This window comes from Homo sapiens, chromosome 2 (genome assembly GCF_000001405.40).
Source record: "Homo sapiens chromosome 2, GRCh38.p14 Primary Assembly".
Classification (NCBI taxonomy): domain Eukaryota; kingdom Metazoa; phylum Chordata; class Mammalia; order Primates; family Hominidae; genus Homo; species Homo sapiens.
Genome location: NC_000002.12, coordinates 11,787,918 through 11,810,104, shown reverse-complemented (window position 1 = coordinate 11,810,104; position 22,187 = coordinate 11,787,918). Strand labels below are relative to the sequence as shown.

Here is a 22,187-nt window from a genome sequence, read left to right as displayed (position 1 = left end):
CTGGTGCAACCAGAGTCTAGGGGCTCCCTCTGAGTTTGGACTGAGGTTTGGCTTGGAAAAACAAAACACACCCTTGTGCAATCCACACAGCCAGGAGCAGAGCATTCCTGGGTTAGCAGTGACCTCAGGGGTCATCTAGCCTAATCTCATTTTACAGAAGAGGAAAACAAAGCTCAGAGTGGGGAAGGTACTCGGTCCCAGGGCCCAGGGTGAGCTAATGGCTGCCGCTTCTGGGATCCTGGCCCGACTCCTGATCAGACCTTCCATCCTATCTCTTATCATCTCGCATCATCCTATCTCTTACTGGCAGAGGGCAATGACTGCAATAAACAAAGAAGTGCTGACATGAAAGAAATAACTGCTGCGGGCAGGAAAGGAAAAAAGATCTAGGCCGGGCGCAGTGGCTCACGCCTGTAATCCCCACACTTTGGGAGGCTGAGGTGGATGGATCACCTGAGGTCAGGAGTTCGAAACCAGCCTGGCCAACAGGGTGAAACCCCATCTCTACTAAAAATACAAAATTACCCGGGCGTGGTGGCACATGCCTGTAATCCCAGCTACTTGGGAGGCTGAGGCAGGAGAATCGCTTGAACCTGGGAGGCGGAGGTTGCAGTGAGCCAAGATCATGCCATTGCACTCCAGCCTGGACAACAAGAGCAAAACTCCATCTCCAAAAAAAAAAGACCCTAACAAGTCTGCTACAGATGCCTCTCATTTTCAGTCCACTGGCTTGGGACACCGCATACCTAGACCCCAGCGGAGCTAACGAACCTCGGGAAACACGGTAAGTGTTCTTTTTTCTAAGTCACAAAGACACTGGCTTCTGGTTACATGAATATAAAAGCATGTATGAAATAAGGTCAAAAATTCAAACAATTATTGCCCAAATTTAGGCCTCAAAGGACCCATTAGCTGAATGATCTAGATCTTTTAGGCAACAGTCCTTCTTGACTTTCCTTCTAGTTTTGAATGCACCTGAATCTGAAAGGGGTTCCTGTATCTTCCATTTGCATTTGTTCTGTTTCATCAATACTCAAGCCAGCTTTATACCCTCTCTATGAACAAGGTGACAATTAGCCTTATGGATCATTCCTCATGGGCTGACTAGATCCAAACAAGTCATTAAATTCAGCAGAAAACAAAATTGTCCTTATTCACTGTTGTTTCAGGCAAGTGGCTAACTGCAAGATTGGCTTTTTCTCTCTCTCTCGCTCTCTCTTTTTTTTTTTTTTTTGAGATGGTGTCTCACTCTGTCACCCAGGCTGGAGTGCAATGGTGCGATCTCGGCTCACTGCAACCTCTGCCTCTAGGGTTCAAGCAATTCTGCCTCAGCCTCCCGAGCAGCTGGGATTACAGGCACCCACCACCATCCCTGGCTAATTTTTGTATTTTTAGTAGAGATGGGGTTTCAGCATGTTGGCCAGGCTGGTCTCAAACTCCTGACCTCAAGTGATCCACCTGCCTCGGACTCCCAAAGTGCTCGGACTATTCGTGTTAGTCACTGTGCCCAGCTGAAGATTGGCTTTTTCATTAGACAAATACTACAGTGCATAAAATGTAAGTCGTACCCAAATTTAAGGGAAGCAAAATCAGGAAAAAGTCCACAAACCCTCATGTAAACGGCATCTTTTCCCTGGTACCCTAGCATGAGAATCATTTCTCTGTTTCTCTAGAAATCACAATACAGATTCAAAAGTATGATGGGAGTCACTAGAACAGTGGGTCACAAGCCTTGGTCAATTCTTAGCCTGACAGGTCTCCCAGTGGTGGCTGCTAAGGCCCTCGTGTGAGGAGGCTTGAGAGAGCCTGCTAGGATGGGAATTACTTTCATCAGTGGTTGGCTCTGGAGGCTGCCATCGTGTCCAGACTGTCCTCCATGATGGGGACCGAGGCCAACAAGCCAGGCCCAAGCCCTCCGATATCCACATAGAGTCCAGCAAGTCCGGGGACGGGGAAGAGACCAGAGCTGACTAGGGTCACAGATTGTGGCCTGAGGACTGTGGCATTTGAGCCAGGCATTAAAGGCTATAAAAATATGGAGAAGCGAAAATCAGAGGGGAAGCCATGTCAAGCTGAGGCCGCCACATGAGCAAAGGCAGGAAGAAGGGAATGGAGTGCAGAGGAGGAACAGAGTCGCTGGATTAGAGCAGGAAGGGCTGAGAAACAGCAGCTGAAAATAAGGGCTTGGCAGAAGACTGGGACCTGAAAGTGCCAGGTTTCAAATGCCACATCAAGGAGCTGGCACCTCCTCCTACAGTGCTGAGCAGGGAGCCCTGAAGGTTGTAGAAAGCTGCCCTGAAGATGGGTTTTCAGAAGCCCTGGCCATCCTGCAAATCACACAGGCCTGACTGGGTGCGCGGACAACACACATATCCAACTCAATGAGCAGGCAAAGGTTTGGGTCTCCACGTCACATCATGCTCCGGGCAGTATCTGCGGGTCCAGACAAACAGGTTTCACTCATTCTAAACCAACCAATCAAAGAAAAGAATGGTCAGGGGTTCTTCAGTAAGCCACACAGCTTTATTTTTCAAGAAGATCTCTCTTCTGAGAAAACCAAGAGACAAATCAAGACCAAAAAAAAAAAAAAAATTAAAAAGCAACAGGGCTTGTTTAATGTTACAGTAAGGACAGAAATAGATTTATGTTCCAAAAACCAAATGAATCAGCTGTGCACTACTCAACATCCTGACCCATGAGGGTTTCTTTCCTTCAACTAAAAATAGATGCAATTTTCAGTGTCACACAAGTCAAGGCACCTCATGAGTAGATTAATCCTTCTAAATGAAAGGTCAGCCCGTGGTGAGGCTGTGGGGAGGCGACGCTGCACATACGCCACCTACAGCAGCACAGACTGGGATAACCTTTTGAGAGGGCAATTCGGCAATATTGATCAAAGCTTTAAATGTGCTCATCCTTTGACCCAGCAATTCTACTCCTGGGAATCTACTTTACAGCGGGACTTCCCTAAGTGTGTGTGCCTTCTTTATTTATTTATACATGCATTATATATCATAAGCATTGTCTATGAACGCTTACTGCATCACTGTTGGCAATAGGGGAAAAAGTGGCAACTACCTACACGTTCATCAATAGAGGGCGAGTTAAAGAAAGTATGGTGTATCTAGACGACAGGATTCTGCCCAGTAGCAAAAAGAGTAAGGTAAATATTACATAAAATGAAACAAAAAAGATATGATGAATAATTAAATAATGTGAGTGTATGTGTGTGGGGATGTAAATAAGTTTTTGAAATTCAGCAAGATAGAACCAAACTGTTCATAGTAGTTCTACTTTTAAGGAAGGGAATAGCTTGCAGCAAGGGCAGGCAGGAGGGTGATACAACCTCTGCGCTTTACTGTTTCCATAATCTCAGCCTCTTTTATTAGTATTTTTATGTCTTAAGAAGTATGCATAACTTTTGTATTAATAATTTTTTAAAGATGAAATCTAGAAAAGTAAAGTCAAACCAATGAGCTTGGGCATCTAAGATGACATCTGAAGCTTTTTTAATGTACATACTTATTTTTTTAGAGAGATGGGGGGGAATCTCACTATGTTGCCCAGGCTGGATTCGAACTCCTGGGTTCAAGCAATCCTCCCGCCTCAGCCTCCCAAATAGCTGGGACTATCGACATGTGCCCAACAAAATCTGAAGCTTTTAATCCCACCAGGATTAAGGTTCTCTCTCCAAGCCGCCATTTTTCTACTGGATCATAAAGTCCCAGGTCAGAGACTTACCTAGTTCATAGCAATCCCAGGCACCTGCCCTAGGATGAGGCACTAACAGGCACTCAAGGAATGCTGGATGGATGAACGGATGCAGGGCAGGGAAATACAGTTCATTCATCTGTGTTCACAGAGTTCTAGAAACAGCTCTGGATGGTGGCCCATTCCCTACCATCACCACTGTGGGCTAGAGATGAGCAAACAAGGTTGGGAACCATGGGCCTGACACTTCCGTCTTGACACTATCTTGACACTCACTAAGTGTGAATGTAACTTGCTCACCCACCTCACCCACGGAGAGACCGCACTGTCCTGATTCAGGCAGAGGCACCTTCCAGCTCTAACTGGCTGGAGAACAGAATGCTGTGGAGGGGGAGATTTCACTCGCATGGGAGACTCTAGGCCACAAAAGGCTGGAGGAGGCATGACTGAGCGGGAGAGAGGCTTGGGCCTGGCAAGCTAGAATGGGGGTGTTTCGGAAGGGGCGGGGCATGGAGAATCCCTGCAGGGCTCTGAACCCTGGAGGCAGACGAGAGCAATGAGAATTTGGATAAATCACTTTAGTTCTCCTAGTTAATTTCACTCATCTAAATACAGAAATGATATTATGTGCTTTTCAGAATCTCTGTAAGATATAAGTGAAGTAACCCATGTACCCAGCACAGGAGAGCAGTCGGAGAACCCCTCTCCCATCTGATGTCTGGGGCTGAGGGTCCCACGGTGGGCACTGTTCTGTTTTGGGCCACTTGCTGGAGCACTCCACAGACCAGGTAGACATGATGTGCCCTGCTGGTTGGCTCGCAGGGTCTGCAACGCCGCCAAAACTTGCCTGGAATCTGCAACTTTTTAGTCTACAGAAAATCACTTGGCATATATAACATATAAGCTCCTATTTCTTCAACTGGCTACCTCTGCCATCCCTCGGGATGAACTAAACCTCAGTCTCACCCCTAATGCTGCCACCATCTGTGTTCTCCTAGTAATCAATTCCCCTATACTTCGCCCCTTGTTTCTTGGTATTGAATTCAAATTTGGAGTTGCTGGGATTCACTTTCACTCTGGACTCCACTGCTACCCCTGACCCCCACTGCCCCTCCCTGGTTGAGGTGCAGCCCTCTCTGCAAGTCACCCCGTGCTGGGACAGGAAAGATTCCATATGCAGAGTGCGGTGCACACACCAGCGTTCACAGGAGGCGGGAAACAGGAACTCTGTACTCACTGGCTCACTTTATGGTACAGCTTAGCGATGCCCTGATGGGTCCAATCCTTCCCAAGGGTGGGCAAAATGTGGCCAAGAGTATCTGATCTAAATGAAGAGGAAAAGAGAAAAATAAAGTAAAAATCCCTTTCAGATTCATTGCACCATTCATGCCTCATAAAAAAAAAAAAAAAACACAAACAAGACCCACAACTTTCTTTCTGGATAGAAAGCCCAAGGCTCAAGTCATCAAAGTTGATGCTGACGGAGGGACAGGTAATCCACAGAAGGACGCCTCCAGTCTGATCATGCATCGAGGTGACCGGCTTGTTCAATCAAAGGTAAAGGCCATTCAAAAAGACGTTCTTGAGAAGCCCCCACAGAAGCAACCAAGTCGAAGAGATAATAATACCCCAGAAGGAAACAACTAAGCCCTAAACACAATGATTGCCACCAAGGAGCTGAAACTACGTAAGGAGCTCCAACTGCACCAGAATTCGAACCGTGCAAGTCCCATGAGGAGAGCAGAGGTGCCAACACCAGGCCCAGAGACCCCCACGGTGAAGCAAAGAAATCTACCATGGGCCCCAAGTCAGCAGGACCTACCTGGTAATTGTCCCATCAATATCAGAAATGATGACTTTATCATCCCAGTTCCACAGATAGATGGTGCCCTCACAGCGGCACGTGCCTTGGTACTGCGTGGTGACACTGAAAACCACGTCGTTGGGGCCATTCTTCAACTTCAAGCTTTTCTGAAAAACATGAACCATTAGTATTTGTCTGCTTGAGGGAAAGGCCCTGATTGATGGGCATTTGGCTTCTGTTCTATGAGAAGCAGGATTCGGCTTTAAAAACAAGTGACTGCCCTGGGCCCTTGTATAATTCTTTCTTTCCCCACCCTTCCTTGTTCTGGTTCTTTCCGGGGCTGGACAGGCAAAATGAAACCTCAGCTCTCTCAGGCCCCCTTGTAATGCAACTTGCCTACTTGCTACAGAGTTGTTCTACTTCCCAGGATAGTGCTAATTTGATCAAGTATTTTCAGATTACAGTCATTAGCCAGGATTCAATGACGGGGCTACACGGCGTAATAAATCACAAGTTTGGAATAGGATACACTTACCACTCTAGGACTAAATAGGAAGATCATCATTCAGGGAGACAAATTTAAGCCAAGTGTGAAAATACATTTCCCTAAATAACCATGTTTTTAAATTATTATTATACTGACACGAATTGGAAAAAGAGAAGTCTTGGTTATCAGTCATGCCTCATATCCAGAAGAATATAGTCTAGACCCAAAGAAATCACACCAAATTCAAAATACAAAGTGACTTTTGAGCAGTTTTGAGTCTCTGTGCCAGGACTCCTGGTGCACACCAGCTGGCCATTCAGACCCCCAGGCTGCCTGACTGCAGGTGTCCCCAGTGTCGCCAGTGGGAGCAGTGAGTCACACAGAGACCCCCAGGCTGCAGGGTCCCACACATGGCCTGAGTGGGTGTCTGGGCCTCTTCCTTATCTTTTCCTAGTAAACACCCTCACACTTGAGCCAGGCTCCCCACTAACTCTTAGGAGAAATGCACAAGACTTGATTCACAAAAAAGCAAGGACAGGTGCTCACTGGCCATGACCAACGGGATCCAAGAAAGGGCTTTTAATTAAAACTGGTCTCACACACAGAAAAATAAAAGGACACCATGACCAGGTGATGCCCCTGGTTACCTGAAATTCTCTAAATTCTATCACAACTGCTTGATTTCCACCAACTTAAGAGATGCATTTGAGTTAACAAACATCTCTCTCTTGAAGCAAAAACACCCTTGAGTGATTTTCAAGTCTATCTGTGATTGACACCTTAGGACGAATTAGCTCCGCCAGGCTGCCTTCCTCCTAACTCTAGTAAACTAGATCCTCCAGGGCCAGGCCAGCAAAAGGAGAAGACAAAAGGCAAGGTCATATTGGGGACCCAGCCTGGATAGTGCTGGAGTTGGGGTGGAAACAGCGGGTACCCAGTTGAGGGATTGCAGGCCCCCTGGGATGAAAGGTGACAAGTAACGGGCACATCCCAACCATCACACAGCCTTAGGAGTCTGCAGAAACCTCATGTGCTCACAACACAGCCGCGCCAAGCATGGGAGACTCACAAGCTGCTCGGAAGTCAGCCGGAGAGTCTTCTTGTAGCTGACATTAGGCAGAAGAGGGAGGTGGCCTGCGTTTGATGGCTTGGCAGCTGCGCGCTCCTCATCACTGGAGGATGATTCATGCTTTACCCTGGAACACACAGTGATGTCATCACCAATTAGAAAATGCATCTGGGTAGCCATGAAAAATGCATTAGCCTTTAATCAATGACTAAGTCAATCCAGTCTCTCCTGAGTCCCGTCTCTCGGGTGGTCATTTACCATAAGACGTTAAATTTATCAATGAACTCTCACTACATCCCCATTCATGCATCTCTTGCATTACACGTGTGGGGGCTGCCTCTCCTCATTCACTTGCCTATTGATGAGCTACCACCACTATTTTAAGCCAACAGGTTCCTACTCATGACAAGCAGGGTTAAACTCCCTCTTGGCCTAGGAAGATGCTGTCTTCTCTGTCTCTCTTCTCTTCCTATCTGAGACTGCATGCCAAGCGCTAGGAGTCCAAGTTTCTACAAGTCCACACTCATCCATCAGTTCCCTATATAAAGCTCGCCAAATATACAACTCCAAGCAATTAGGGCCTTTCTAGGACTTACGGACAGGTGCCAGTGAAAGCAAGAAAGACTCACCAATTCTTCTCTCAGGATCCCCCAGAGGGTCATCCCATGAGCAAGGAATACGCCTTACTTCCCTGCTCAGAATATACAGGTCAGTGCCCCTAACTCTTCTAGACTTTTTTGTTTAGTGGGGAGCTGGGAGGTGCAGGGTGGGAATTAGGCTCGTTTTCTTTAAATAGCTCACATAATGCATATCTGTAATTAGCTATTCACTCAATGAAAATCCTGCTATGACATAATCCCCAACCCAGTAGTATCAGCTCTGCCTCCCAGGACCACTATCTTTGAAAATGCCTCAATGCTATATGAATCACTTAGTAAATGCCTTAGACTAAATGGAAAAGGCTGAGTGGCCCCCAAAGCAGCACATCCCAAGCCCTCCGGTACTTTGCCTTCCTACAAAGCCTCTGGCTCAGCACCTTCCTCTAGGCAAGGTTAGAGTATACACAGAGCTCCAGCTTATTTTTTTTTTACTGTCTTTCGTATTTTTTATTTTTCTATTGACATATTAATTATACATATTTATGGGGTGCATGTAATATTCTGATAAACGTATATATTTGCATTTATCAAAATATCATGCATACCATGATCAAATCAGGGTAATTAGCATATCCATCACCCCAAACAGTTATCATTTCTTTGTGTTGGGAACATTTCAAATCTTCTCTTCTAACTATTTTGAAATTTATAATAAATTGCCGTTAACTATAATCATTCTACTGTGCTATCAAACGCTAGAACTTATTCCTTTCATCTAACTGTATGTTTGTACCCATTAACCAACCTCTCTTCATCCTCCTCTCCCCTCTACCCTTCCCAGCTCTGGTAACCACCATTCTACTCTCTACCTCCATGAAATCAATATTTTTAGCTCCCACATATGAGTAAGAACACGTGATATTTGTCTTTCTGTGCCTGGCTTATTTCACTTAACATAATGACCTCCTATTCCACCCACGTTGCCACAAATGACAGGATTCATTCTTTTTTATGTCTGAATAGTACTCCATTGTGTATATATCACATTTTCTTCATTCATTTATCCATTGATGGACACTTAGGTTGGTTCCATATTTCAACTCCTGTGAATAGTGCTGTGATAAACATGGAGATGCAGGTATCCCTTTGACATCCTGATTTCCCTTCCTTTGGATAAATAAGCAGTAGTGGGATTGCTGGATTGTATGCTAGTTCTATTTTTAGTTTTCTAAGAAATCTCCATACTGTTTTCCATAATAGCTGTACTAATTCACATTCCCACCAACAGTGTTTAAGAGTTCCCTTCTATCCACATCCTTGTGAGCATTCGTTATTTTTTGTCTTTTTGATAATAGCCATGCTAACTGGGGTGAGATGCTATCTCACTGTGGTTTTGATTTGCACTTTCCTGATTAGTGATGTTGAGCAAATGGGACTATATCACACTCAACAGCTACTGCCCAGCAAAGGAAACAATCAACAGAGCGAAGAGACAACCCGTTAAATGGAAGAAGATATGTGCAAACTCCTCATTCAAAAAGGGGCTGATACCCAGTATATATACAAGGAGCTCAAACAACTCAACAGCAGAGAAACCAATCATCCCATTTAAAAGTGGGGAAAGGATCTGAATTTCATAAGAGAAGAAGTACCAGGATTGTCTTTATCTTTTTATCTCAATAAACTCTCTCCTCTCAGTGCTAACTTCCTCTCGCCTTACTGCCTCCTGTTTCCCCCGCCCCTGCCTCCCTTAAGATCTCCTATGCAACCTACAGCTTTCTGACCCCATAAGTGTTCATTTAAGAAGTGATCCCCAGCCTCACCAACATGGCAAAACCTGTCTCTACAAAAAATTTAAAAATTAGCCAGGCGTGGTGGTTCTTGCCTATAGTCCAGCTACTTGGGAGGCTGAGGCAAAAGAATCACTTGGACCCGGGAGGCGAAGGTAGCAGTGAGCCAAGAATGCGCCATTGCACTCCAGCCTGGGTGACAGAGTAAGACCCTGTCTCAAAAAAGAAAAAAAAGAGATCCCTACAACCCAATACTGCCCAATACTGGGGAGACATGAAGGAGGATAGTGTCCCACAGCACCTCCACTTCTGTGTTGTTTCTACCACACTTATGTGGAGACCCAGCTCCTTCCAGTCCTAGAATGAGCAGCCCCTCCCTAAGCACCTGCTCCCTGGGCCCCAGGAAAGGGAGGTCGGTGGGCTTTGGGATGGTGGCCCAGAGTTCATTCAACCGACACTCAAGCATACCATGCCAGGCATCGATGGCACAGCAAACAACCTATTCCCACTCACGCAGGGCTTGTGTCTAAATCACAACACAGAGACCTGGGCTGAAGACAAAGATTTAGAGATCACTGGGACAGAGCCCTGGGGGAATACGCCATGGGAACAGGAGGCTGAGTTGAAGGAAAACAGAGCATCGGCTAGAACTGTGGTTGGTCTGTGGCAGAGCTAAGCTACACGTGGATGGAACAACGCCATGACATTGGGGGCTGATCCTGATTCTAGGTAGAGTGGAGATGGTACAGCAGTTAGACTCTGAAAAACACAGGTTTCCAGCCCATGGTAACTTCGGGCTACATTACCTTGGAGAAATCATTTCTTTATCTTTCAGCCTTGATTTCTTTATCTTAAAATGCAGAGGAACAACTGAATCACATCCACCCAAAACTTCAGGATGGAGGCAGGTAACAGGCTAGAGAGACCTGGACTGGGAGACCCAGACATAAGCCCCAGCAAAGGCCTCATCCTAGGAAATTCCTCCCTGGGCCTCAGTGGGCTCATCTGTAAAATGACCTGATCCAACCAAAGTCCCTTCCAGTTCTAACACCTACGGATCCTATGAACCATGCTGGTTCCTCTGAACCAACAATCTGGAGGTTTTCAGATGGGGTAAATGTGGTCCTGGAGCTGGTACAGCCTGGCAAATGCTGCTGGGAACGGGGAGGGGAGGGTGGTGCAGATTTCCTTGTCAAGCAGAAGAAGAACGAGGCTACAGGCCCCTCATTGAATGGGAAAATGTTTATGTTCCAACCAAACAGTTTGGAGTGAAATGAGATCCAAATGTGAAGCAAAGCTCTTGGTGACAACAGATTGATGTGTACCTCTGCCGGCGGGATGAGGAGGCAAGGCGGAATAGCTGTGATTTCCATCTGCTGCTTTAAAAAAAAAATCCACTAAATTTGTGCAGCATGCCATGTTTGAAGGAACACAGAAAGGAAAACACAGATACAAAGACTAAAATGCGAGATGCGCAGTTGGCTGTTGGTGGTTTCGGCTTAGGGCAAGTACACGGTCATTTGCGGCTGCCACGTCTCAGATTGCGCCACCCTGCACAGAATAAAATGCCTCCTTTTCGGAGGCCCCCACCCCACCCCTTACAATGGCTCATTAAATGTTGCTTGCTTTACAGTATCTGCAAGAAGCAACAAAACAAAACAAAAGGGCTCATGTCATTTGAAAATGTGTGCACAGAAGAGTAGCTGTGAACAACATCTAAGTTAGCACTTGTCAGTGTACGTTTTTCAAACGCTATTTTAATTATTTGTATGGTGACAAGCTGTTTGCTCAATTATGGGACTTCGGGGACTATTCTGTCAATCACGTCTGTCAATTAGGAAAACATTCTGACACCTTTTTTTTTTTTTTAGTCAACTGCATGACTCTAATAAGGAGACTCAAAGTCTGAGATGCCAGTATAAATTAAAAGGTTTACATTTTTCAAGAGAACTTTATATTCTTTTCAAAATCTGAGTTTTCACAAGAGTCAATTCTTAATTTTTCAGGTTTGATAAGGAACCATACTGTGACTAACTCAGAATGGCGAATGGTCCAGCTGTTTCTATTTGATGGGAAAAAGCATTTTTTGCCCCATTTGAATATGATTGTATCGGACAGTGAGAAAATCCGTGACACCCCAAGTAAACTGCAAGAGCTGAGGTTCCAACGTGGGAAGAGCTGCAGAAGTATCTCGCTGCTCTCCACACTCTCCTGGGGTCCTGCCTGCTATGTCTAGAAGGAGTAAGAGTAAGAGCAGTGCTGGCACCAGCAATGCCACTGTGCCCACTGTGTACGGGCCCCTCCCAGTTGCTGTCCTCTTCCCTCCCTTGTAAACCTAACTCTCTGACCCTCAGGCCCATCTTCCCCTAGGTCTAAGACTGGCTGTATTAGTCCGTTCTCACACTGCTATGAAGAAATACCCAAGACTGGGTAATTTATAAAGGAAAGAGGTATTAATTGACTCACAGTTCCACATGGCTGGGGAGGCCTCAGGAAACTTACAATCATGGCTGAAGGCAAAGGAAAAGCAGGTGCCTTCTTCACAGGGCAGCAGGACGGAGTGAGTGCAAGCCGGAGAAATGCCAGATGTTTGTAAAACCATCAGATCTCGTGAGAACTCCCTATCACGAGAACAGCGGCATGGGGGAAACGGCCCCATGATGCAATTCCCTCCAACTGGTCCCACCCTTGACACCTGGGGATTATGGGGATTACAGTTCAAAGTGACATTTGGATGGGGACACAGAGCCAAAGCATATCATTCTGCCCCTGGACCCTCCCAAATCTCATGTCTTTTCACATTTCAAAATCAAACATGCCTTCCCAACAGTCCCCCAAAGTCTTAACTCATTTCAGCATTAACTCAAAATCCACAGTCCAAAGTCTCATCTGAGACAGGTCCCCTCTGCCTATGAGCCAGTAAAATCAAAAGCAAGTGAGTTGCTTCCTAGATACAATTGGGGTACAGGCATTGGGTAAATACACCTGTTTCCATTGGGACAAATTGGCCAAAACGAAGGGGCTACAAGCCCCATGCAAGTGTGAAATCCAATAGGGCAGTCATTAAATTTAAAAGTTCCAAAATGATCTCCTTTGACTCCATGTCTCACATCCAGGTCACACTAATGTAAGAGGTGGGCTCCCACAGCCTTGGGCACTGCCAGAGGGCAGGATGGATTTGGCAGACATCCTGCATTCAGCCAACAGAAACTGTATGGTTTGGGATTGAACGCATGTCCTCCAGGTGACCACAGAGCCATCCTCCCCAATTGGTTTCTGCACTCTGGATCATTTTCTCATGAAGTTGCCTCGAAGACCCAGTGAGACGGGGTCTACCGCATCGGTGTTATTCTTAACCCCATTTCACAGATGGAGACGCTGAGAGGTGGATTAATTTGCCAAAGATCACACTGAAGGCTGTTGGACAAGGTCCCTGCTGTACATCCTGCTCTGTGCTACCTCTTGTGTTTAGAAATTATTGCCAAGACAGAGAAGGTTGTTAAAATGAATTCCAGGAAAGCGGGGCATTTCTAGTGTAGCTATTTAAGTTGGTTTAAGTTGCTGAGAGCACGCAGTTTCGCATCTTTGTTGTGTGTGCCTCTTTTGGGGTAGCATGCCTCCCATGCAGCCTCCAGGCCAGCTCCATCCCAGCCTGTCTGGGCACTGACGGTGGCACTGGCACCTTTGCTCAGATGTGTCAGGGAGCTTCCCCAAGGTCCAATGGTTACCGAGGAGCAAAGCTGGGATTCCAAACCACACTTGCCTGACTCCAATGTCGACTGCTTCCGCTACAGCTTGTGCAGTAAACAACCACTTATTTTGAAATGTCTGCTTTCCATGCTGGCTGCTCAGAGGGTGGCATGTCCTTGGCCTGGGCTCCATCCTCAACACACCTGCCTTCTCCCTTCCAAGCACACTCACAGCCAAACTCAGAATTCCCAGCTGGGAAATATCGATACCCTGGTGCCTTCCTATTCTTTCTTGTGCCTGTGAAGCACAGACCAGCGGTGGGTCAGGGGGAGGCACCTGGGACACCACCAGGGGAAACAGAAAGGTTTCAAGAGCATCCCAGGCGAGAGCGAGCCAGGCCATTCACAGTCACATTCAAACTCACCCCTACCAGGTCCCGCACACTCGTCTCCACCCTGTTCTTCTCCACAGAGAACAATAAAGAAATCAGGTCATTTCCCACCTGCCTCCCACGTGGGTTTCTGTTTGTAGCAAAGAATCCTAGATGTAAAATTGTTTAAGACACAGAGCCATGGCCGGGATTCAGAGGAATGGAAATCCACGCCTGCCTCTCCCATAAATCAACAACACATGGAGAAAACCTCAGTGGTTCAGTGACGGTTGAGCAACACTTTGGAAACGACTACTCTGTGGGGCAGTGGCCTCCAAGATACAAAAATGAGTAAGATGTGGATCTGGCCCCAATTAATCTGTTAGCACTTTCTGTCTGCTAAATAAGAAATGGAATCCTGGATTTCTTAAGCACAGGAATACTGTAAACATGAAGTAAGAAGTAAAAGATGGTACAGCGCAAATCATTCAGTGTCAGTATATGATACCACCATCATAATTAGTGTATAACGGGACTGTCCTCAGAGTCACCTCCAATCCCATACAAAGTGATTAACCTGAAGACAAAACACCACAAATACGGATCAGTATCATCAAAATCTAACCTCTCCTATGCCAAGTGAATATGAATCCATGTTAAAAGTATCAACGTAAGTCCTGGTCAGTATTTAAATTACAGAGAAAGGCAAGTTCCTTCAGAAGTGAAACTTATTTCCATGTTATTGTTAGGGCTACTATTTATTCCTGTCATCACTGTCATTATTCTCACTGTTATTATTGTCATCATCATCATCTGTGTATAAAGGACTATTGCATGCCAGGACCATGAGAAATGCTCTAGTTATATTATCTCACTAAAGGCTCACATTTATTTTGCAAATTAGCTATCTAAGGGAGCAACTGCATGCATTTTGCTCATGGGAGAACCAAGTTAAATAAATTGCTCCAGGTCACCAAGTGAATCACAGAGCCAGAGTTGGAACTGTGTGGTGAACCCTATCTGCATCCAGGCAGCACACGCCATGAACTTGGATGCGGAAAGGGGCTGCAAACATCCCAAGAAGCCTCCTACCGCACCTGGTGGCCAAGCTGAGCTGCGGCGGTTGCTCTCCGGTGCTATGGGCCTTGCCAGCCAAGCACTGCTCTGGCTTACTTTCCTAGAAAAGAAGAAAAGAAAGAGTCACAGAAGTACCACAGAGAAGGGGCTTGCAGACAGCCGGTGTTTTCCCATGGGCTTCCTTAAGGCAGGACCCCTAAAGATAGACCATTCCCCAATGACGCCCACCCTAGCGATCGCCCAGGAGGCTCTGGCTGTGTTTGTTTCGGTGGGTCCTGATCTCAACTTTGCTAAGAAGTGTACGATTAAACCAAGAAATATTTTTGACAGAAACGAATCTGTTATCCATAAGTGTTTGTGGCACCAAACCAAACTCCATCATCACTGTAGCTTATGCAAATGCTTGATCAAGGGCTGCTTGGATTCTGGGGGCCTTTCAAAATATTTTCTTGTAATTGCTGATAGAAACGCTTGAAAATATTTTTGTACCATATTTTGCTTGGGGAAGATGTGAAAGCATTTTCTTCTTTTCCAAGATGACATACTCTTAATAGAAAATCCTCTGTTGGTGTACTGGAAAGAACCTTGGATTTCTAAGAGAATGCCTGGGCCCAGTCTTGTTTCTCTTGCTTACAAACTTTGGGCAAGTCATTTAACTATTCAGAACTTCGCTTCCTCATCTGTGAAACGGGTGAAATTCTCCATCTCCTAACGCTGCCATGGGGATTAAAGGAGACTGTGTCTGAACCACAAAGCCAGGCACATAGCAGGCAAAGGAGGACGGAGATGGGCACTGGCCCCAAGGACAGAAGAGACCAGAGAGAAATGCCAAGGGACCGAGGGTGAACGACTAAATCTCTTTCTCTGTGCTCGTTTCGTCAGGAGAGGAAATCTACGGTCCTTTAATAAAGAAAATGAACAATACAAACTATATAATAGGCTGACTGTCTTAACATATGACTAGCATGAACTAAGTTCAAATATCCTTTAGGTTTTTTTATTACCACACAAATAATTGATATAATATGTCCAGTTATGTTTTATCTATTTATCATGTAACTTAGCCATCACTATTAGCAATTTCTTCTTAGACTATTTCCCAAATATGTATCTAACTGAAATAAGTATATTTCAGATTTTTAAAGAAACATTTAATTTCATAACTGTTCCTTACTTTATAGCGGCACTCCACTTAATGCAAACTGGTGAGAATTTGGATATTCTACAAAGAAGTCACTGAAATATACTTCCATCTTAAATTCTAGAACATTCTGCTCTCTAGTAAGAAAACCAGAGAGGCCCTTCATGCTTTAAGGCCTCTAGTGTAAAGCATATATATTTGAACTCATTTATCGGTAACCTTTGGAGATTAGTAAAACTGATGAGTAGACCTCAGATATGCTAACAGAAAATGTCAAAGAACAATTATATCTTGATAAAACTCTTCCAGCAAACATTTTCCCTTTCAACTAATGGCATAAATAGAGTTCATGGCAGTTTATGATTAAAATAACCAACTTGACTGTTGTCCCTGTGGCTTCTTCATACTACTTTCCCAGAGTAATCAGCGTGCCCTCAACAAATATTTGCTGAACCCCTACTCTGGGTCCAATATGGAGACCAAGAACACCAAAGCAATCAAAGCCATATATGGTCTCTGCCTCATGAAGTTTCGGGTCTAGACAGAAAGGAGAGGTTCATCAAATAGTCACGCTAGTAATTACATAATTATCAACTATGACAAAATTTATGAAGGAAAAGTTCACAGGCAGAGGACAGCAGACCAGACTCATCTGCAGGGAAAGGGCTACTGGATCTGCTAGTTAGCTAAGCGAAGCAGGGGAGAGGGGTCCACAGAATACTAAGTAATGAAAATAGCATGTGCAAAGCCCCCAGGGTAGAAGGTACCTTCAGCCATTGAAGCTAATGCACAAAGAGCAGAGAACAGCAAAGATGAGATTAAAGAGGCAGGCAGGAGCTAGAACACACAAGCACTGTAGGCCGTGGTAAGGACACAAGCCTTCATTATAAGAGCCCTGGGGAACCACAGTAAGGCTTTAAGGAGCAACAAAAATAGGAGCAGTCCCCTGAAGAGACCAATGCATCTGCAGTACAGAGAATGAAGAAGCAAGGGTGAGGATGGGTGCAAAGAGACCATCTGGAAGCACCTCTGGGAGAGATGATGGTAATGCAGATTTGTGGGAGCAGAGCTGGAGAGACATGGACACGTCAGAGAAGTATTTCAGATGGAAAACTGATAGGACCTGGTGTGGGAGTGAGGCTAAAAGCATGAATCTCACCCACAGATGGACAGTGGTGCCATTTTCTGACTATGGCCCCAATGATGGAAGAACTCACAAGAATCCCATGAGTTCAATTCTGGAAGCGTTAAGTTTGAAATACGTTGAGGCATCCACAGGACGATGTCTGCTTAGTCGACTACTTGATAAGTGGATGTGGAGTAGAAAAGAATGTCTGGTTTGGAGACAAAAATGGAGTCATCGCATGGGCAGAAGGGAAAAGTAAGAAGTAAAAGGAGAAAAGGTGGCCTAACATGAGCTTTGAGGACCCTCCTAGAGGTGACTAAGCCAGAGCAGGAGCAGCCTGCTGGGAGGAGGAGACCCAGGTGGACACAGGGGCCTGGGAGCCAAGCAAAGCAAGCGCTTCAAGAAATAGAGGAGAGGGCAACGAAGATCTGAAAGAAATCACAGGCACTCATAGACATGAACGCCAAAGCCATGGACCTTTAGACATGCCATTTCAGTGAAAGGACTCAGAGAATTAGTCAACTGCTGTGAGTATGCCTCATTAAAATTGTCCTCACAGCCTGGGCATGGTGGCTCACGCCTGTAATGCCAACACTTTCGGAGGCCTAGGCAGGCAGATCGCTTGAGCCCAGGAGTTTGAGACCAGCCTGGGCAACATGGCAAAACCCCGTCTCCACTAAAAATACAAAACTTAGCTGTGCGTGGTGGTGCATGGCTGTAATCCCAGCTATTCTAGAGGCTGAGATGGGAGGATTGCTTGAGCCCGGGAGGCAGAGGTTGCAGGGAGCTGAGATTGCACCACTGCACTCCAGCCTGGGTGACTGAGCAAGCCCGTCTCCAAAAAAGAAAGGAGGGGAGGGGAGGGGAGAAAAAGAAAAAGAAAAATTGTCTCCACAAGCAGAAGGAAGATATTTAATTTCTTAAGAAACTGAATTCCCAGGCTGAATCCCTTCTTTTATAGATGACGAAATCTTACCATGAGGGAGTGACTGGACCACAGTCTCCCAACAGTTACAGAGCCAGGAGGTGACACCTATGCTGCTGGCTCCTGACCTTCCTCCCCACCTTCCCCACGTTCCACGAGCACTCGCCCTACTTCATGGCAGAGCTGGCTCATGGAAACTCAGCACTAGGGCCTATCTTCATTTCTCTGATGTAAGTACATGAAAACCAATCTCACTACACAAAACCAACACTTGCTAAGTGTGAGCACTGCTTTGTCTTCTGGGCTTACCTCCTTGATTGTGGTGTTTCTTCCCCTCCATGAAAACCACCATCTTCCTCCCTTTTTGGGCATTTTATCCCTCATGATAGATTCCACAGTGGCCTGTTTTAAATGGATGGTAACATAAATAATGGAACAAAAAAAGATCAACTTAGCACATTCAAACCAAAAGAAACATACATGCAAATTAAAGTAAGATTTAAAAAAAAATCAGAGAAAACACAACATACTATTTGTGCGTTAAAAATTTTAGAGAAGCAAAACCTAATGGCGTCCAAAATTACATGAAGGTAACTTAAGCATGAAGACTTAAGAAGATGTTAAAGGAATAAACAAACAACAAATAAAATACAACACAACAACAACAACAAAAAAAGAAAGCATTAGAAATCATTAGTGATTAGTAAGACTGGAAGTTTTCAAATTAAAGTGGCTAACTGGTTAAGATATCATTACTCTCAATATGATGATTATCAAATAAAATATGAAATGATTAATATGGGATAGAGGATAAAACAGTTTTCAACAAAAGGTAAAATGCATAAGATTTTTACTAAGGGTAAATTTCTAAACATTTGCATTAATAGGTACATTTGATTTAAAATCTCGAGTATTAAAAAGAAAATTCATACTTTTAGGTAAATGGGTTTAATGGGGAGATTAAATATGAATTGATAATTTTCTACGTTTTTCCAAAGAACAAAATACCTATCTATCTTGAGGTTAATTCCAGGACCAAGGTAAAAGTTAGGTAATGTCCCTTCCTCAGTTTACAGAACTTTCAAGAAGCTGACACCTCAGCTAGTAACAAAAGAAAGATTTAAGCTGAAAGATTCAGTCTAAGGGAAGCAGACAGATAAGTAATTTACTATGTAGCTTAAAAGATCCCTATCTGACACAAAAGAAAACCCAACTGCACTAAAATGCAAACCACTCACATCCAGCTCATAAATAGGACAATTGACAAAGCTGTGAATGACCCTATTTCCCCTAAATCCACTCATAAATGTAACAAAACCACATTTTTTTTAAAAAAAGAAAGCAGGCCAAAGAAAGGAAAAAAACAAACAGGAGTATTTTCAGTCCTTCACAAACTGATTCTAATGTTCATTTGAAAAACAAACAAAAATAGCCCAGAAAATTCTCAGGCAGAAGAGTAGTAAGTAGAACAAGCACTACTGGGTATTAAAATATACCAAAATATATGGTAACTAAAAGAATGCAGTGTTGGTATACAAGGACACATATCACAGGAACAGAAAACGAAGTCCAGAAATAAATCTAAATTCACAGAGACACGTAACAGAGGGTGAAGTTGTAACTGCCTCTGAGTGGAGGATAGGGTTAGTTAATACACGGTCCTGGGATAATTCAGTAGCCATGTCAGACCCTGTGAGCAGCTCATCTGCCTCCCCTTTCTTGCTGACAGATCTGAAACTCTGTTCAAGAATCAGGCTGCAATGCATGCGGAGAAGACTGGCTCAACTCCAGAGGATGCACCTCAATGGTCGAAGCCGTTCACAGTCATTTCATTGCTTTGCCAAGAAGTGCTTTAGTGGTGATCATGTGACCAAGTCTTGAACTATGAGAGAGCTGCCCCTACCCTCCCGTTTCAGATGCGGCAGTCTGAGCAGACGATGTGTACGGCAGTCACCTTGTGACCATCAAGGAAAAGCTGAGAAAATCACAAAGAAGCTAACCCAAATTCATCAAGCCTGAAACTGCCAACCTCTAAGATCCTCATCATATGAGATCATTACTTAAGCCACTTTTAGTCATTCTGTTTCCTAAAACAAAAATCATCTTCACCAATTCAATAACTTCCTGAGAAAAAAACTGGTTTGCTTCCTAATACCTCTCATTACACTTGAAACAAAATCTAGATGGATGAAAGATTTTAAGATCTTTCGAAATTTCCAAAACTTGTAAAAATATGCCCCATATACAAGAAAGCACAAAAAGAAAATATAGGGCCTATCTTCACAAGTTTTGGAAATGGGGAAGCAGGGCCATTTTATGTGTGATACAAAACCCAACAGCCATAAAAGATAAGATGGGCAAATTCTACATTTAAAAATAATTTCTATATTAGAGAAATGCCATATATAGTCAAAAGTTACTGACTTGTAGAAAGATTTAGCATGCATATCACAAGGACTAATGTCTTTTAAGTTTCAGAGCCCATGTGGATTTCTTCTTCAGTGAATAAATAAATCCTTTAGCTATATTGCTATTGCAATGGCCTTTTTTCTTACGGATTTGTAAGTGTTGAGAACGGTGACATAAAAATGTGTCCCAGGCCATGGATACCATGGCAGGGACAAAATAAAAACCACTCTGGAGAACATGCCCTCAGCCCAGTCCACAAAGATAATCAGATAAAGCACCACCCAGGATGAGACTGCGGTCCTCAAAACACAACACATGCACACACACACACGCACACACACACGTGCACATCCACATCCACACATGCACGCACACATGTGCACATCCACACATACATGCACACGCGCACACACGTGCACATCCACACATGCACACACGTGCACATCCACACATATACACATGCACATACACACACGCACACACATAAGGCACACACCTGCACAAGCATGCACACATACCCGCATGCACACACATACATGCGCACACACACGCATGCAAATGCATACACATGCACGTATGCACACATGCACATGAGCACACACTGACACACAGGCACAGGCACACACACACACACACACAAACCCAGGAAGCAGCAAGCCTAGACTCAACAAAGTCCAATTAGACCTTCAAGAATCTCAAGTGTTTGAACTGGCTGACCGACGGCAACATCCTAAGCCATACAAAAGCTTGCTAAGCGCACAAAGGATACAAACAAGCCTAAGGCAGTCTCTGCAGCAAAGAACGTATAATCTAGCAGGAAGATCTATCATTGAAAAAATTAACAACTCCAGGCTGACTGTCTAGTGAATTGTTTGGGGTAGGATGAGAACACTGCAGACTGGCAGGTGGCGTGGCTGCCCTCCTAACTCCTCCCTACGGCCACTTACCTACTCTCCCCTGCAGACTGGGAGCTGTCCAGGCCCTGTACTGGCTCTGGCCTCAGAGACTCAGGCATGGGGCTGGCTTCCTGGCTGAGCAGCACTTGACACTGACACTTGACACTTGACACAGGGCACCTGCACCTGACCCTGATGCCTGCTCCACCTTTCCAGGGTGACAATCATCTCCCTTTGTCCTCACTGGGCTCTGAGGTCCTGGCACCTGTCTGCTCAGCCTCCACCTGTACCCCTTGCATGGCAGATATTGAGAAAGGAATCTTCGGTCCGCTCGACCATGATTGGGAGGTTTTGCCTTGATAAGGAAGAGGGGCAACCACGTGCAAGGTGCAAGAGAGAGATCAGAAACTCCTGGCCTGTATGCTCATGAACTTCAAAAGAGCACAGTGGAATTAACTCTGTAGTTTCCAAAATAAAAGTGAAATTCCAACCACCCCAGATTAAGCTACCCATCATTTCTAGCATCCCCTTTTCTTTCTCATGTTAAAGCTCACCTTTGGCAAAGGTTTCTGGAAGGCCTGCATTGCCAGGAGGAGGGGTGCTGCTGTTGTCCAGTTATAATATCTAACACAAAACAATGAAATATATGTCAAAAAACCGAGGCTCAGACTGAAAACCTTTCCAATGTCATATAAAGTAGTCAAGGAAAGCTCGGGACTCCAGCGAGGCCCTTAAAGAGCTCAATACTCTTGCTAGCCCCCAGCCCTCCTCCATATCACCCCTAGGCAGAGGCTCCCCCCACCTCACCCCAGCGGCCAGTTGAGGGCCCAGCAGCAGCCGTGCCAGCAGGGCAGACAGTTGGACATGCCAGCAGCCCAAATCCCACCGTACAGCTGCTGCACCAAACCACGACGTGCTTGGGGTATTTCTTGCCACGTGTCAAGGTAAAGGCAACTAGGTGTAAAACATCCATGGCTTAAGGGAGAAAAGCTTGCTAACAGTCTGCAAAAATACCTGTACATCCCTTGCCCTCAGATAATGAAGTTTTTCTTTTCTTTTTTTTTTTTTTTGAGACAGAGTCTTGCTCTTTCAC

General features: G+C 45.0%; 1 protein-coding gene across 14 annotated transcripts in view; it reads right to left on the bottom strand.

Moving 5' to 3' along the window:
* The window catches only part of LPIN1 (lipin 1), a 149,866-nt gene that overhangs the window by 17,305 nt on the left and 110,374 nt on the right, over nucleotides 1-22,187 (bottom strand). For 12 of the 14 annotated variants that reach the window (NR_146080.2, NM_001261428.3, NM_001349208.2 and 9 more), the window contains 6 exons: nucleotides 21,649-21,718; nucleotides 18,099-18,191; nucleotides 14,618-14,697; nucleotides 7,072-7,198; nucleotides 5,534-5,682; nucleotides 4,949-5,035 (listed from right to left, as the gene is read on the bottom strand). Coding sequence is in view for 13 of the 14 variants with exons in the window: in NM_001261428.3 (NP_001248357.1) it covers nucleotides 4,949-5,035; nucleotides 5,534-5,682; nucleotides 7,072-7,198; nucleotides 14,618-14,697; nucleotides 18,099-18,191; nucleotides 21,649-21,718 (606 nt within the window). In the remaining variant the exon portion in view is untranslated. Of the gene's footprint in view, nucleotides 1-4,948; nucleotides 5,036-5,533; nucleotides 5,683-7,071; nucleotides 7,199-14,617; nucleotides 14,698-18,098; nucleotides 18,192-18,319; nucleotides 18,398-21,648; nucleotides 21,719-22,187 lie in introns of all 14 variants that reach the window. The other 2 variants (NM_001349200.2, NM_001349201.2) reach the window with 1 other exon arrangement.